Genomic DNA, 16460 nt, shown 5'->3' on the forward strand with positions numbered 1-16460 from the left:
ATAAGGAAAATAATGCCCACTCAGTGCTTAGCAAAGGGTAGAGTCGGTGAGTGGTGGCAGGAAGGGGTGGGAAAGGGGAGAGGGTGGTGGCGGGGAAGGGCCTCAGATCTTCCATCTGGTCTTCCTCACTGATGTCAGAGGCCTCTGCTGTGGGGCGGGAAGGCAGTGTGGGTAGCTCCGGTCTGGCGGCACAGCTTTTGGGACTCCAGGTGCTTGATTCAGCAAAACTTCTCCAGGGCCAAAACTGGCTTTGTGAGGGTGACCGCCAGGGCCTCATCGAGGTAGGCAGAGAGGGTTAAATAACCCACACAAGGAATAAGCAGGGACCAGTGCAGGAGCTATGGGGGAATGGAGGACATTGAAGTGAGGAGAGGGTCCTGAGCCACCTAAGTTGTGGGAATTGCTGGTTGGGGGTTGAGGCTCAGAAGACAGAATCAGAATCCGCACTTCTAAGCAGAAGAGTATTTATTTTGGGGGCACTCAATGGCTTACAGAGGCACTGGAGGAGCTAAAGAAGTAGAATTCACACTGAGCTTTTAGAAACAGTTCCCACAGCCTTGCCCCAGAACTGGGTCCCAAGGAAGCAGCTGCCTCTTCCTCACTCAGGAGCCTGGTGCATTAGGGGCTGTCACCCCAGAACTGGGTCCCCAGGAGGCTGATGCTGCAGCTTTCAACTTTGGAATTACACAGCCTCATGCAGCCAATGCCTGGGCCCCAGAACCTCCTCTGTGTCCTTGGGGACTGTTCTTGCAGCAGCCTGTATCCCATCCCACCTTGCAAGTCTGGCACAGGTGCCTCTGATGGAGAGAACGTAAATGCTACCTGCAATCACAGCTGCCGAGTCATATGGGAGATGTGACTTTAGCTTTCAATCTCTGTTCAAGAGGTTGTCACATTAAAAATGGGAATGGCTGTGGCCTGGCTATTCTGGGGACATGGAAAGGGGACAGAGAGGAGCTGGCTGGAGGAATAGAAATAGCCAAAGAGCTTGGTAAGATAAGTCTTCCTAAAATTTAAGCTCTTAGTTCTGATGCTGTGTGATAAGCCCTTGAACTTGGAGTAAAACTCTCCTGTAAATAATACCTCCTGCAAATGATGTCTGGGGATTAAGGAAAAGTGCAAGAATTCTTCCTGTGCACGTGATAAAAACTCAATTCAAACTAGCTCAAGCAAAAATATTATTATCTCATGTAACTGAGAATTCTAAGAAGAAGATGGACTTCAGGCATGGTTGGATCTAGGTGCTCAACCCAGGCATATTCCTGCTTTTATCTCTTGCCTTTGTTCTTCTTTGCATTGGCTTCATTTTTTAGAAGGCTGTTTCTATGTCCCACCTACCACTCCAGGCAGATGTAATGTGTACAACTGATAATCTCAGAAGCAGAAGGGTTCTATTTGTTCCAGTGTTTGTATCAATTCTAGAAAAAGGAAGTTGGCTTGCTTGAGACATGCACTGCCTTTTGGCCCAGTTGCTGTGTTCAGGGGTGCAGCGTTCTCTGGACAGCCAGGCTGTGCCCAGGGACAGTGGGATTGGTGGGCAGCCCCACTAGAATCATGCAGAATGGAGCAGGCTTGTCCACAAAGGCTCTGATTACAGCTGAAACAGGCCCCCAGGGAGTGCTTGGAGTGGCATGGAGCAGAAATAAGGGTACGGTCACCCACAGATATGAGGACCGAGGCAGAGCAAGCATGTGGGAGTCCCTCAGCAAGCCCAGATGCCATGCACCAAGGAAGCTTCCTCACCCCGAGTCCCCCGAGGTCTGAGGAGGGCGGCTGGGTCTGGCTCCATAAGTGGCACCATGGTTTGATGCGACTCACCTGAGTGAAAAGTACACGGTGACCCAGCAGGCAGCCAGGTCACTCGACACAATGCAAAAATTGTTTTTCTAACCATTCTGTTTGTCTCCAACTCCTGAGACGTTTCCTTTCATTTTAACCTGACCAATCTTCATCCTGCAACTTTGAGGCCAGCATAGTAACCACTCTCCATGGGTCTCAGCAATTGGTGTATCTGAAGTTAGGTTTCCTGAATTGTGTTCTTATTTAATGATATATCAAACTTTTTTCAGCTGATTCACTAAAACCTATCATCATAGACTCCATCTTTTCAAAATCTACATCAAGAATACAACTTAAAAAGGGTGACAGGCTGCCCAAATGTGGCCAAAGCTGAGTGATAAACACGATAATCCAATCAAAGGGGGGCAGGCTTCGTATTTGGAAAAACAGACTCTCACGTGAAATAAAAGCAATGCCACTTTGCTCTGTTTCAGTGGCCTCTAGGTCTTTGGGCTGACACGTAAGATGGTACAGAAACTCCTGTGCGGTCGACCTACCTAACCTCATTGTCCGGTAGTGAGGCATGGTGTGCTGTGCACTCGTCCGTGTATGTGTGAACATGCATAAATATGTGTATGTGTTTGGGCACATGTGTGCACGTGCATGTTGGTGCGTGTGTGTGCTTGAATGCCGGAATAACAAGGAATGAGAAAGCGATGTGTGGGGCAGACGCAGATTTACTAGCTATGCACTTTATAAAATAAAAACATACACATTTGCACAAGATTTTATTTTATAAAATGATTCCTTATATCAATTTTATTCAACCTTAATAAATTGCTCAGAAGTTATGGCTATGCAGCCTTTAGCTGTAAAAAGTGAAATTTATATACTTATGTAATATTTGCCAATAAAGTGAAAAAGACATATATATATTTTTTCTCAGTTTATGAGCATCGCGGTGACTACTGCAACCCAACAGAGACTGTGGATCATGACGGAAGAATTCCTGCTCTTCGCAGTGTGTCCCTTCTGTTCAAAATAAGACAGACATGTTTGTTATTGCTATAGCAACTCACAACTACCAAATAGACACCTCCGCCCAGCGTGACACCCTTTCATTGCATCAGCACCAGGCCCCACTTCTGTTGTTGAAGGTGCTGGGACTGGGACGTGACCTCTCTCAGGAAGGGGAGCAAGGCTTGCCGTTCCCATCACAGCATCTGCATGCACTTACTCTGACCCAGGTGCAACAGCTGTCAGCCTCTGTCCTGCAGAATGGGCTGGACAGCTAAATGCTATGAGCATTAGATGTTATACTGCTCACGGCTTCTTACCTCACCCACCCCTCCCACTCCTCCCTGAGCAGCCTTAGCAAAGAATTTCCTCCTCCTTCTCCTCCTCCCCCTCCTCCTCCTTCTCCTCCTCCCCCTCCTCCTTCTCCTTCTCCCCCTCCTTCTCCTTCTCCCCCTCCTTCTCCTTCTCCCCCTCCTTCTCCTTCTCCCCCTCCTTCTCCTTCTCCCCCTCCTTCTCCTTCTCCTCTTCCTCCACCTCCTGCTACCCTTCTCTTGTAAGACTTTTGGCCCAGAGCATTTCTTTCCATCATATTTTGGCTTATGTTTGAATTCTAAATTCCGAAGTTCTCAACTCCTTACATACAAAACAAACAAAATAATGTACTTTTTTGTTATTTTCAATTGAACATGTAGAGAATCACACATACATACACACACACAGAATGTGCAAGAGGCTTCAGACCACCTGCATTCACTCTGACATCGGTGAGGAGAACTAGGAAAATGCCAAGTGATCTCACCACTGGCTCTTGCTTTGCTGAGACAGTTTTCCAGACTCAGGCCTTCCAGGACAAGGACTTCAACGTGTTTCCTTCTTCTTCTCTGGTCACAGCAAACCATTTACAGGCATAGGAAAGTAAGAAATTATGAGGTCCAGAAGAGAGGAGGGAGATGGTGCAGGCGATGGAGCAGATGCAGGGTTCAGCCTTGGAGGGGAGCTCTGAGGCTGTGCCTCGGTCTGGCTCCTGGGGATGTGCAGGCTGATGTCGCAGTAACATGTCCAGAGCCTGGCTTGGTTTCGCTGTGTGCTAGCACCATATTATCCAGCGTGGGCTTGAATATGGCCCCTTGCACTGGGGAGGGAGGGAGAAGCCCCATGGCAGCTCTCCCAGTTAAGCTGAACAAAGGTTATTAAAAGTTTGGCCAATACTTTCCCTGCCTGAAGCATCCGAGTTATTCTGATGGCTCAGGGAGGTCCCGAGTACCTGGTTTTAGGAACCTGTGAGCTCTTTAGTCACAAAAGCCATTTGCTTGTCTTTATATGTTTTTATTTCTATTTATCTGCCCAGCAAAGCCCTGCTGTTGTTCACACAATCTTTTTTTGGTTCAGATGAATAACTTAATAGACTTTCATAGACAAGACACTGTAAGCAGTTGAGTCAATTGGGAAACCCAGGTTTCAACCTGCACAGTTAAAAGGAAAGCAAGAAAACACGCCACAGAAATGCATCAAAACTCACCGCAGAAATCCATCAAAGCACACATTGTTTGGGAGCAGGAATTCAGAGCCGCTCCACCCAGTGTGAAATTGTATCCTCCCTGCCAAACTGAAGACACTAATTTTCCTTTTCAACTTTGCCCAACAATGTTAACTGTTGAGTTTCGAGGGACCACTTCATCTACGTGATATCACTTAAATTTACTGTTGCCATTCACAATGCGGCACTTGGAGATACAAAGTGATTTGGCCAGGGGCCCACTGCTGGTAGCTGCAGGGGAGGGATTCGAATGCGGGTCTGTCTGCCTCAGAGTTTCTTGTTTCATTCTCAGTCCATACAACGCCCCACACTCACTCCCACCTGAGTTTTAGAAACAAAGTCTTGATTCTTGCCTCTGGAGATAAGTTCAAGATATTAATAAATGCAAGATATTATCTAATATTGTGAAGTGGAAAAAGGCAGGATTGTGTGTGTGATCTCATTTTTTTTTGTAAAAAGAAAGTCTCCATAAAGGAAATACACATATATTAATAGAAAGATCACCAGGTGGGGGAGGTGGCAGATTCTAGATGATATTTTATTATTTTTTTCTACCTTTCACCTTCACATATGTAGTATGCCGTCACTACCCCAACCTTACATCATTGGAGTCATTCATTAAACCCCAATCTGTGTGAGTCACTGCGGAAGTGAGGCTAACAGAAGCCCACACTGAAGGCCGCGTTCCTTCGTGGCGCCGTCCCATGCCAAAGCTGCTGTTCCCACGTGGCTACGGAGCTCTGGAGATGAAGTGAGTGACACCAAGGAGCTGAATGTTGAATTCCATGTAATTTTAATTAACATTTAAATAGCCGCGTGCGGGTAGTAACTACCGTATTGGCCAGTACAATTAGTAACAGGGATGTTTTAAAACACACATTTAAATGAATCACAGGTGAAGTCGGCTGTGCCCGTCTGACTTGGCAGACAGGGGCCGACAACTGGGCAACTGCGCAGACCTTCTCTGGCATCACACACAGCGCAGGACGGCGCGGGACCCGAGCAGCTGGCTTACCTGAATTGTGGCAGCAGCAGTAACAACCCCGAACTAGCTTCAGGGTGTGGATTTAATTACAGAAGCCGGAGGAGGGCAGGCACTGGCTGTCTTCAATCTTTCTCAGTGACCTCCACCTGTCTGCTTCCAACTGAGTAAAAGTCTGACTTGATGGCTTCATGATGATCTAATTGATGAGGAAGTACTTTTGTTTATACTACCTTCATCCAAGACACAATTTCCTGTTAAATATTTCAATATGAAGACTGCCTGTTTGTTTAATGATTTTTTAAAAACAAATTTACCGCCAGAATTAGTGCATGAAGGTCCCGAGGCCGTGGCTGCATCCTAAATGCCCCAGCAATGAGCAGAGGGGAGCCCAGCCCCACCCTCTTAATGTAGCTCTGGTCCCTAACGCGATGCTTCTAATCTTATGAGCCTTGACTAGTTTTTAAATCCAGGAGCACCAGAGCTCCAATCACAAAGTCCTGTATTCTGTCTAGGATCTTGGTTAAAGCAATGAACGTGTCCCTTGCTTTGCTTTTGCCCCAGAGACCTCTAATTGCCAACATTTCACCTTAAAAATCTCTTGCAAACCTTAATTCTCAAAACCCTTCTGTAACAACATAGACAGGAAGACCACTTCTAGCGCTTTTCCATTTATTTTTATATTCATAATTTTATTCGTTTGTTGGGAAATTTAAGGCATATAGAAGTTAAAACCACAGCCAAGCCTCAGGAGATGCACATGTTCAAAGATTTCAGAGTGCAGAGAGTCATTTCATTTTTTACGAAGCACGTGCTCTGCTTCCGGACGGCGCTAAGTCGGCTGTGTGCCCGGGCGCCGGCAGTTGCGGTTGTCACATGGGCCTGAGGGCAGTGGACAGCGGAGGGCAAGTCAAGGAACCACACTGACAGTAATCACCCTGGCTTCAGTGTTTCCATGAAGTGCTCTTAGATGCAATGATTGTGAAGTGGGAAAATCATGAGTGGCCACCTGGGCGAGCCTCACTGGCCGACATCCCTGCATCTGAGCATCTCTGCGGTTGCTACTGTCCGGTAATTTCGGTCTGTTCCGGGCACCTGGATCAAAGTCAGAGGCCCTCCCTCAGGGCTCCTCTTCAACTGGCCTCCGCACTAGGGTCCTATCTTGGGCAGGATCCTGGAGGCTCACCCGCTTCTTCCCAGGATGGAAAAGTCGTCTGGGCTGCTTGTGTCTGATGAGGAACTTGTTTGACAGGTGAGAGGCACAGAGCGGATGAGTGGATTCACGTGGAACCAAGAGTTCCCAAACTGCCTGAGCCTGAGACTCACCAGTTCCCAAACCGCCTGCGCCTGAGACTCACCGGTTCCCAAACCGCCTGCACTTGAGACTCAGGGGTTCCCAAACCGCCTGGGCCCGAGACTCACCGGTTCCCAAACCGCCTGCGCCTGAGACTCACCGGTTCGCAAACCGCCTGCATTTGAGACTCACCGGTTCCCAAACCGCCTGGGCCTGAGACTCACCGGCTCCCAAACCACCTGCACCTGAAACTCACCAGTTGCCAAACCACCTGCGCCCGGAACTTACTGGCTCCCAGACCGCTGCGCATGAGACTCGCTGGGGGCGTTACTCACAACGCAGGCTCCTGGGGCCCTCCAGAGACTCCGGTGTCAGCGAGCTCATGGCGCCCACCTCAAGTAACACTGGCCTCGGGCACTGATTCTCAACCCTGGCTAACCACTAAAAATTTACTCAAGGAGCTTTTAAAAAGTATCAGTGCCTAGGACACAACACAGGTTAATTGAATAAGAACTTCGGGAGGAGACTCTAGGTACTTGCATTTTCCTAAAAATCTTCCTAAATGACTCAATTTTTCAGCCAAAGTTCAGCAATGCTGGTCTAAGATGAAAAATAAAATGACTGGGTTAGAACCTCAGGCTGTGTGGAACCCACAGTGGGTCCAGACTTTGGTTTCAGTGCCCCCTACGGTATAACAGTCATTAAGGACCCCAAATTATTTATGTAAATTATATGTCAATATTTACCATATTAGGAATTAAAACAGAAAATGTTTTAAATATTCTAATTCATTTTAAAATAACAATAATAAATCCATTATGTGTTAACATATTTTTATTAAAACCAACTATATTTTTCAAAAGAGAAAAGAAATCACTGAGAAGAGTGGCATTAATCTACATGTGTGTCAGTCTCTGTCTGGCTTTAATGGAAGACAGCTGGACTCACCCAGCTGCCTCTGCCTTCCACCTGTTACGGTGTGTTTTGGGGAATATATGAGGAAAATCCAGACGTGTGTGTGTGTGTGTACATACATATATGTAGGGGGAGAAAAGAATATTTTTAGAACTTTTTTGGATTATTATGGATATTCTTATTTTAATCTTTACAAAAACCTGAAAAGTGATAGTTTTTAAAATGATTAATGGCCACGTAGAATCCGAAGCCACATTGGTGAACGTTTCCTTCTCTCCTACACTAATATTCATTTGTCTATCTTGCCCTTTGAATGGGCCTTTTACCCAGGCCTAACTTTGTAACTTCATGTGTTCACCATTTGGAAAATATCGGTTTACTGAGACGTGCAGAAATTCCAAATGCAGACGTCTCCGAGAGACTGAATATACGAAGGGACGCTGGGTAGACCACAGAAAAGCCACAACTCTGACCCACACCTGCATCAGCCTGCCCAGGAAAACTGACCCTAACCTAATATCTGCAAACGCCAGCCCCAGAGGCCAGCCTGCTGTCCAGGAGTCAGGACTGCAGGAGGTGGGAAAAGGACCCCACCACAGCTGACCCAAGATGGCAGGGCTTGATCAGTAACTAACAGATTTCTTCACTGTTTCCGTGCTTCCCACTTAGCACCAACCAGAGAAAGCTGAATACACTCCCTGGCCAGTTCCATAGGATGTTCCGATTCCAGCTACTCGCCTCCAGTGTCCCCAGACAGCAGCCTCCGGCAGGGCTCACCTGGGACCTTCCGTTTTCTCATCATAAATCCCCAGACCCCTGCCTTTGAGTCTCTGCTGGACACACACCCTGGAGCCCTGCCTTTGAGCCTCTGCTGGACACACACCCCGGACCCCTGCCGTTGAGCCTGTGCTGAACACTCGCAGTGGTGACCGACGCCCCCACCACAGCAAGCCCCGAATACACAGCCTCTGTGTGTTCCCACTGAGTTGGTCTTTGTTTATTTTCACACTTAAATTACACACTATAAAAAAACCACAGTTGTTAATATTGCCACCCATCTCACCAAAAAAGCCTCTATATATTGTAAAACTGTCAAGCTCAAGGTGATGAATAAAAGTGACCCAAAATTCTAACGTTTCTCAAACGCTCAGATTTTATCATGAGCCACAAATACTACTAGTTCTTTCCCTTGGAGGAACAGGCTGTTAATTAGCTAGGTCTGAATACCATAGTTTGTCTATCAGTTGTTCTTTCAAGTAAAAGCTGTGTTCCACGTAAAGAAAAAAACATAACCAAAACAGCGAGTTCAACAGGTAACTGGAACGATGGCCTCTGCTTTTCCCACAACAGTGATCACGTGACTCCGATGTGGAGAAATGCTTCATCCAGTTCCCACTTCATGGTGCAGAATATTAAAAAGACAAGCCTGCACGGATTGAGGCTAAATAGTTAATAATGAGCCTCACTGCTTGATTCTGGACACTGTTAGGTGAAAACGGCTTTTCTTTTTCCTGCAGGTGGGTGGTGGTGCAGAAGACCACAGCTGTTTGTGTGGTTGGCACTCAGCTTGTTTCAGGTTAGGGATTGAGTAGTTTCACCCACTATTGCCTTTATACACCAGCAATAGGATATCTACACAGTTAAAAAAAAAAAAAGGCTTAGCATTATGATAAAAATAGTTTTCCCTCTGTGGGCCCCCTGAAGGGGCCTCGGGACCCCAGCAGTGTGGATAGCAGGCGCGGGGACCTGGCAAGAGGGTTTGGTAAACCTTCTGTTGCAGCCTGGGTGTGAAGTGAAGGGGTCCCAAAGCCCTCATGCAGTTTTAAGCTTTAAATACATTTCTTCAAGTTTTAGTTTGTGGGGTATTTTGGTCTATAAGGCAAAATGACTAAAACTTCTGTGAGACATCTGAGAACTGTGATCAATGAAAGAGAAACAGAAGTGAAGAGTCATCAGTTTAGGGGACAGCGTCGGAAATACTAAAGGGTGGCAGCTGTCGTGTGAATAGCACTGACCAGCTCCAAAGTCCGCCACTAGCAACAGCTGCAGTGAAATTCTGGCCAACCAGCACTTCTGGAGGTCCCATGCCCTGTCTTCCTCTCCTTGTCTCCTCCTTTCCCAGGCAACCCAAACGTAAGGCCAGTTCATCTGCATTTAGTACCTTCAAGAGAGGAATTTCTAATGCTCTTGAGAGTCCGCATTTAAACTGCAATTTCTGAATTACTTGGGAATACTCACGGGCCATCTTGGATTTCAGAACATACAGGGGTTTAACATTAATGTATTGAGTTACAAGAGGAGATTCTTAGCTCATCTGGCATTCTAATAAGACCTATACATGGGTAAATTAGGTGTTGCTACTTAAATTCAGCTTTTGTCCTTGAGCTCAAAAGTCCTGCAGGGAAAACAGCCTGAGGGAGCTCCTGCAGGAGCGTTGCTTAGGAGAGGCTGTCCCCTTCCAGCCGCAAAGGCAGCTCCGGGAGACACACCAAGGCCCCGAATCCAAGGCTCCTGATGCTGTCAGAACCACTTCCTCAGCCGAGAATCGGCCGTCCAGCCCGACCTTCAGGGTACAAAGCGAGGCGAGCACACCCAGCCTTCTCTCAGCTCCAACCCCCATTTAATCGTTTGGTTTTGAAAGATTTCTCCAAGAAAAATGTATATATGTAAATTATGTATGTCAAGTTTTACCATATTAGGAATTAAAACAGAAAAATTTTAAATATTTTAAAATAGCAATAATAACTCCATTATTTGTTAACAATGGAACGGAGAGGCTGGATGAGATGCGGCGAGCGCGTGACACACATCAGAAAGTGGCAGAACCAGAACCGGCTCCCCGGGGCTGCCCCTGCTTCCCCTGACACCGGCTGCGTCTGTCATGGGCTGCGGCACGGTCATCTTCGTTTTGACTTTCAGGTGGCAACCGCACGGTGCCACAGGCTGTCGCTGTCACCCAAGCACAAGTGCAGTGACAATCCTCGCTACGAATTTCCTCGCGGCTCCATACCTGAAATAAGTATCACTGTATTATCACAGCTCTGTGGAAATCCCCACCTTTCAAGGCTCCTCTTGAAACACAGGTTATTGTAAGCGGAGAAACAACTGCTTTTCAAGATGTTAATATCTGTTGGGATAAAGGTATTTCTCACTGAGGATTCACCCTCACCAAGCTTCCCGGCATGTAAAAAACATCACTGTCACTGCAGGCAGATGTAAGGAATAAGAAAACACCCACACGAGCTCACTGTGGAAACCAGTTCGGTCCTCAGTTCCAATGACAGGCGTCTCTCTAAGCGGGCTGAGGTCTTCTTGGGGCAGGACCCTTGGGAAGAAGTGCCTTCTTGCATGGGACAGACCTGGGGACCCTGGGGGGCTACCCTGGGGGAATTACAGCATGGACACCCACCCCCTTAGTTGTCTCCAATTGTACCCTAAGGAAGAATAGGTCAGTTCCTCCTCTTTCGCACTGAGAACAGCCACCTCCACATGCTCCCATGCGAGGGCCTCTGCTGGCCAACACCAGCTTTCAGCATGGCAACTAGGGGAGGATGAGCACGGTGTGATAACTAGGGGAGGAGGAGCACAGTGTGATAACTAGGGGAGGAGGAGCACATGTGATAACCAGGGGAGGATGAGCACGGTGTGATAACTAGGGGAGGAGGAGCACATGTGATAACTAGGGGAGGAGGAGCACATGTGATAACTAGGGGAGGAGGAGCACATGTGATAACTAGGGGAGGAGGAGCACATGTGATAACTAGGGGAGGAGGAGCACATGCGATAACTAGGGGAGGATGAGCACGGTGTGATAACTAGGGGAGGAGGAGCACGGTGTGATAACTAGGGGAGGAGGAGCACATGTGATAACTACGGGAGGAGGAGCACGGTGTGATAACTAGGGGAGGAGGAGCACATTTGATAACTGGGGGAGGAGGAGCACGGTGTGATAACTAGGGGAGGAGGAGCACATGTGATACCTACGGGAGGAGGAGCACGGTGTGATAACTAGGGGAGGAGGAGCACATGTGATAACTAGGGGAGGAGGAGCACGGTGTGATAACTAGGGGAGGATGAGCACGGTGTGATAACTAGGGGAGGAAGAGCACGGTGTGATAACTAGGGGAGGAGGAGCACAGTGTGATAACTAGGGGAGGAGGAGCACATGTGATAACCAGGGGAGGATGAGCACGGTGTGATAACTAGGGGAGGAGGAGCACATGTGATAACTAGGGGAGGAGGAGCACGGTGTGATAACTAGGGGAGGAGGAGCACGGTGTGATAACTAGGGGAGGAGGAGCACATGTGATAACTAGGGGAGGATGAGCACATGTGATAACTAGGGGAGGAGGAGCACATGTGATAACCAGGGGAGGAGGAGCACGGTGTGATAACTAGGGGAGGAGGAGCACATGTGATAACGAGGGGAGGAGGAGCACATGTGATAACTAGGGGAGGAGGAGCACATGTGATAACTAGGGGAGGAGGAGCACATGTGATAACTAGGGGAGGAGGAGCACGGTGTGATAACTAGGGGAGGAGGAGCACATGTGATAACTAGGGGAGGAGGAGCACGGTGTGATAACTAGGGGAGGAGGAGAACGGTGTGATAACTAGGGGAGGAGGAGCACATGTGATAACTAGGGGAGGAGGAGCACGGTGTGATAACTAGAGGAGGAGGAGCACGGTGTGATAACTAGGGGAGGAGGAGCACATGTGATAACTAGGGGAGGAGGAGCACATTTGATAACCAGGGGAGGAGGAGCACGGTGTGATAACTAGGGGAGGAGGAGCATGGTGTGATAACTAGGGGAGGAGGAGCACGGTGTGATAACTAGGGGAGGAGGAGCACATATGATAACCAGGGGAGGAGGAGCACGGTGTGATAACTAGGGGAGGAGGAGCACATGTGATAACGAGGGGAGGAGGAGCACATGTGATAACGAGGGGAGGAGGAGCACATGTGATAACTCGGGGAGGAGGAGCACATGTGATAACTAGGGGAGGAGGAGCACATGTGATAACTAGGGGAGGAGGAGCACATGTGATAACTAGGGGAGGAGGAGCACATGTGATAACTAGGGGAGGAGGAGCACATGTGATAACTAGGGGAGGAGGAGCACATGTGATAACTAGGGGAGGAGGAGCACATGTGATAACTAGGGGAGGAGGAGCACGGTGTGATAACTAGGGGAGGAGGAGCACATGTGATAACTAGGGGAGGAGGAGCACGGTGTGATAACTAGGGGAGGAGGAGCACATGTGATAACTAGGGGAGGAGGAGCACATGTGATAACCAGGGGAGGAGGAGCACGGTGTGATAACTAGGGGAGGAGGAGCACATGTGATAACTAGGGGAGGAGGAGCACATGTGATAACTAGGGGAGGAGGAGCACGGTGTGATAACTAGGGGAGGAGGAGCACATGTGATAACTAGGGGAGGAGGAGCACGGTGTGATAACTAGGGGAGGAGGAGCACATGTGATAACTAGGGGAGGAGGAGCATGGTGTGATAACTAGGGGAGGAGGAGCACATGTGATAACTAGGGGAGGAGGAGCATGGTGTGATAACTAGGGGAGGAGGAGCACGGTGTGATAACTAGGGGAGGAGGAGCACATGTGATAACTAGGGGAGGAGGAGCACATGTGATAACCAGGGGAGGAGGAGCACGGTGTGATAACTAGGGGAGGAGGAGCACATGTGATAACTAGGGGAGGAGGAGCACGGTGTGATAACTAGGGGAGGAGGAGCACATGTGATAACTAGGGGAGGAGGAGCACATGTGATAACTAGGGGAGGAGGAGCACATGTGATAACCAGGGGAGGAGGAGCACAGTGTGATAACTAGGGGAGGAGGAGCACCGTGTGATAACTAGGGGAGGAGGAGCACTGTGTGATAACTAGGGGAGGAGGAGCACGGTGTGATAACTAGGGGAGGAGGAGCACATGTGATAACCAGGGGAGGAGGAGCACGGTGTGATAACTAGGGGAGGAGGAGCACATGTGATAACTAGGGGAGGAGGAGCACATGTGATAACTAGGGGAGGAGGAGCACATGTGATAACTAGGGGAGGAGGAGCACATGTGATAACTAGGGGAGGAGGAGCACATGTGATAACCAGGGGAGGAGGAGCACAGTGTGATAACTAGGGGAGGAGGAGCACCGTGTGATAACTAGGGGAGGAGGAGCACATGTGGTAACTAGGGGAGGAGGAGCACGGTGTGATAACTAGGGGAGGAGGAGCACATGTGATAACTAGGGGAGGAGGAGCATGGTGTGATAACTAGGGGAGGAGGAGCACATGTGATAACAAGGGGAGGAGGAGCACATGTGATAACTAGGGGAGGAGGAGCACGGTGTGATAACTAGGGGAGGAGGAGCGCGGTGTGATAACTAGGGGAGGAGGAGCACATGTGATAACTAGGGGAGGAGGAGCATGGTGTGATAACTAGGGGAGGAGGAGCACATGTGATAACCAGGGGAGGAGGAGCACATGTGATAACTAGGGGAGGAGGAGCACATGTGATAACTAGGGGAGGAGGAGCATGGTGTGATAACTAGGGGAGGAGGAGCACATGTGATAACTAGGGTAGGAGGAGCACATGTGATAACTAGGGGAGGAGGAGCACATGTGATAACTAGGGGAGGAGGAGCACATGTGATAACTAGGGGAGGAGGAGCACGGTGTGATAACTAGGGGAGGAGGAGCACGGTGTGATAAGTAGGGGAGGAGGAGCACATGTGATAACTAGGGGAGGAGGAGCACATGTGATAACTAGGGGAGGAGGAGAACGGTGTGATAACCAGGGGAAGAGGAGCACATGTGATAACTAGGGGAGGAGGAGCACATGTGATAACTAGGGGAGGAGGAGCACAGTGTGATAACTAGGGGAGGAGGAGCACCGTGTGATAACTAGGGGAGGAGGAGCACGGTGTGATAACTAGGGGAGGAGGAGCACATGTGATAACTAGGGGAGGAGGAGCACGGTGTGATAACTAGGGGAGGAGGAGCACGGTGTGATAACCAGGGGAGGAGGAGCACATGTGATAACTAGGGGAGGAGGAGCACGGTGTGATAACTAGGGGAGGAGGAGCACATGTGATAACTAGGGGAGGAGGAGCACGGTGTGATAACTAGGGGAGGAGGAGCACATGTGATAACCAGGGGAGGAGGAGCATGGTGTGATAACTAGGGGAGGAGGAGCACCGTGTGATAACTAGGGGAGGAGGAGCACATGTGATAACTAGGGGAGGAGGAGCACGGTGTGATAACTAGGGGAGGAGGAGCACATGTGATAACTAGGGGAGGAGGAGCATGGTGTGATAACTAGGGGAGGAGGAGCACATGTGATAACTAGGGGAGGAGGAGCACGGTGTGATAACTAGGGGAGGAGGAGCACATGTGATAACTAGGGGAGGAGGAGAACGGTGTGATAACCAGGGGAAGAGGAGCACATGTGATAACTAGGGGAGGAGGAGCACATGTGATAACTAGGGGAGGAGGAGCACGGTGTGATAACCAGGGGAGGAGGAGCACAGTGTGATAACTAGGGGAGGAGGAGCACGGTGTGATAACTAGGGGAGGAGGAGCACATGTGATAACTAGGGGAGGAGGAGCACATGTGATAACTAGGGGAGGAGGAGCACGGTGTGATAACCAGGGGAGGAGGAGCACATGTGATAACTAGGGGAGGAGGAGCTCATGTGATAACTAGGGGAGGAGGAGCACGGTGTGATAACAAGGGGAGGAGGAGCAACAATTCCAGGAGTTGGAGATTTTACAAACAGCATCTAGATGAATGACTTGATTTTTCCAAATTTCTGTCTTCTTTTAGACAGAATGTGTATTGGTTTCAAGTATCAGGATAGTTGAGGAACTGAATGAGTTTATACAACTGATTCTCTGTGTGGAGAGGGTTGAAGTCTCATTTTCTCCTTTGGTTTATTTTTTCCCTTTGACCTGTTTGGGGGTTGAGCCTATGGAATCATCCCTGCAAAAATAATCAGCTTTACACGCATGTTAATTTCACTAAAATCCAGCAAAGCCTAATCTTTGAAACGCAAGTGTGTTTACTAGGACGAGTCACAACCTGACACCCTGTGGCTGATGCCAACAGGCCTGACTTACTCAGAATTTACCATCAGTGTCTAATAACTTGGCATGGCTCTGGGTGGAGATTTTTTATGGAAATTTTAGTGAATTCTTACCAATGTGGAACCATTTCCATGCTTGAAGGACTGAATCATATAAACAACATTGCTTTCATAAAGTCCGTAGGCTGAATTAGGCTTTAAAATCTGAACAGCAAAGGTGTACTTAGCATTAGAAACAGAAACACTGGCGGGAGGTGAAGGGTTTATAAAGGGAATTGTATCTTTTATACACACGCAGCGTCTTCTCGGAAACTCTCTGAAATGCCAAGTCTGAGTATTTCCCAGAATGAGTCAAAACTACATCTTGCGGTTGATAAAAAGAAGCATTTTAGGATGTATTTAAATGTTGCATTGTGTCTCCCTGGGGCATTTGTGTTTTATCTCTTACTGGAATAAAACTTTGCTCCATAGAAAGAAATGTGTGGTGCGCTGTTGAGATGAGGGAGTGAGGGCGAAGTCCCTTCCAAGGCCCCAGGGGTCAACCCCACAACCCTCTCCACCTACTGCATAGGGAGCCTTGAGACTCGGGGACAGGTCCTATTTCTTCTCTACTTTTTATGACAAGGCTGATATTTTTTAGAAATATTAATGAGCATTTCTATTTTGCATTTTCTATATACAACCTACTTAGCAAATAGCAGCCTTGGTGGGATGAAGATCATTACAAAAGAATGCAAAGAGACAGAGTGGACAGTCCCTTCCGACACGCAAGCCAGGTAAATGCAAAGAGACAGAGTGGACAGTCCCTTCCGACACACAAGCCAGGTAAATGCAACGATG

The 16460-nt window shown here is 48.5% G+C and overlaps 2 long non-coding RNA genes across 2 annotated transcripts, besides 1 other annotated feature; both read right to left on the minus strand.

Moving 5' to 3' along the window:
- Positions 1-2565: 2565 nt before the first annotated feature.
- LOC105378137 (uncharacterized) lies at positions 2566-3804 on the minus strand. Its single transcript, NR_134590.1, has 2 exons — positions 3596-3804; positions 2566-2811 (listed from the first exon to the last, which is right to left on the minus strand). It is a non-coding gene; the product is annotated as an uncharacterized LOC105378137 (long non-coding RNA).
- Positions 3805-5979: 2175 nt separating this feature from the next.
- LOC124901501 (uncharacterized) lies at positions 5980-8663 on the minus strand. Its single transcript, XR_007059934.1, has 2 exons — positions 6674-8663; positions 5980-6555 (listed from the first exon to the last, which is right to left on the minus strand). It is a non-coding gene; the product is annotated as an uncharacterized LOC124901501 (long non-coding RNA).
- Positions 7878-8379: an enhancer, noted in NCBI's record as "H3K4me1 hESC enhancer chr6:168631271-168631772 (GRCh37/hg19 assembly coordinates)". NCBI's record gives its function as "activates a minimal SCP1, AML or CMV promoter by ChIP-STARR-seq in primed H9 embryonic stem cells {active_cell/tissue: H9 hESC(primed)}" and the evidence as "EXISTENCE:reporter gene assay evidence [ECO:0000049][PMID:30033119]".
- Positions 8664-16460: the final 7797 nt, after the last annotated feature.

The sequence above is a fragment of the Homo sapiens genome, chromosome 6 (genome assembly GCF_000001405.40).
Source record: "Homo sapiens chromosome 6, GRCh38.p14 Primary Assembly".
Taxonomy (NCBI): Eukaryota; Metazoa; Chordata; class Mammalia; order Primates; family Hominidae; genus Homo; species Homo sapiens.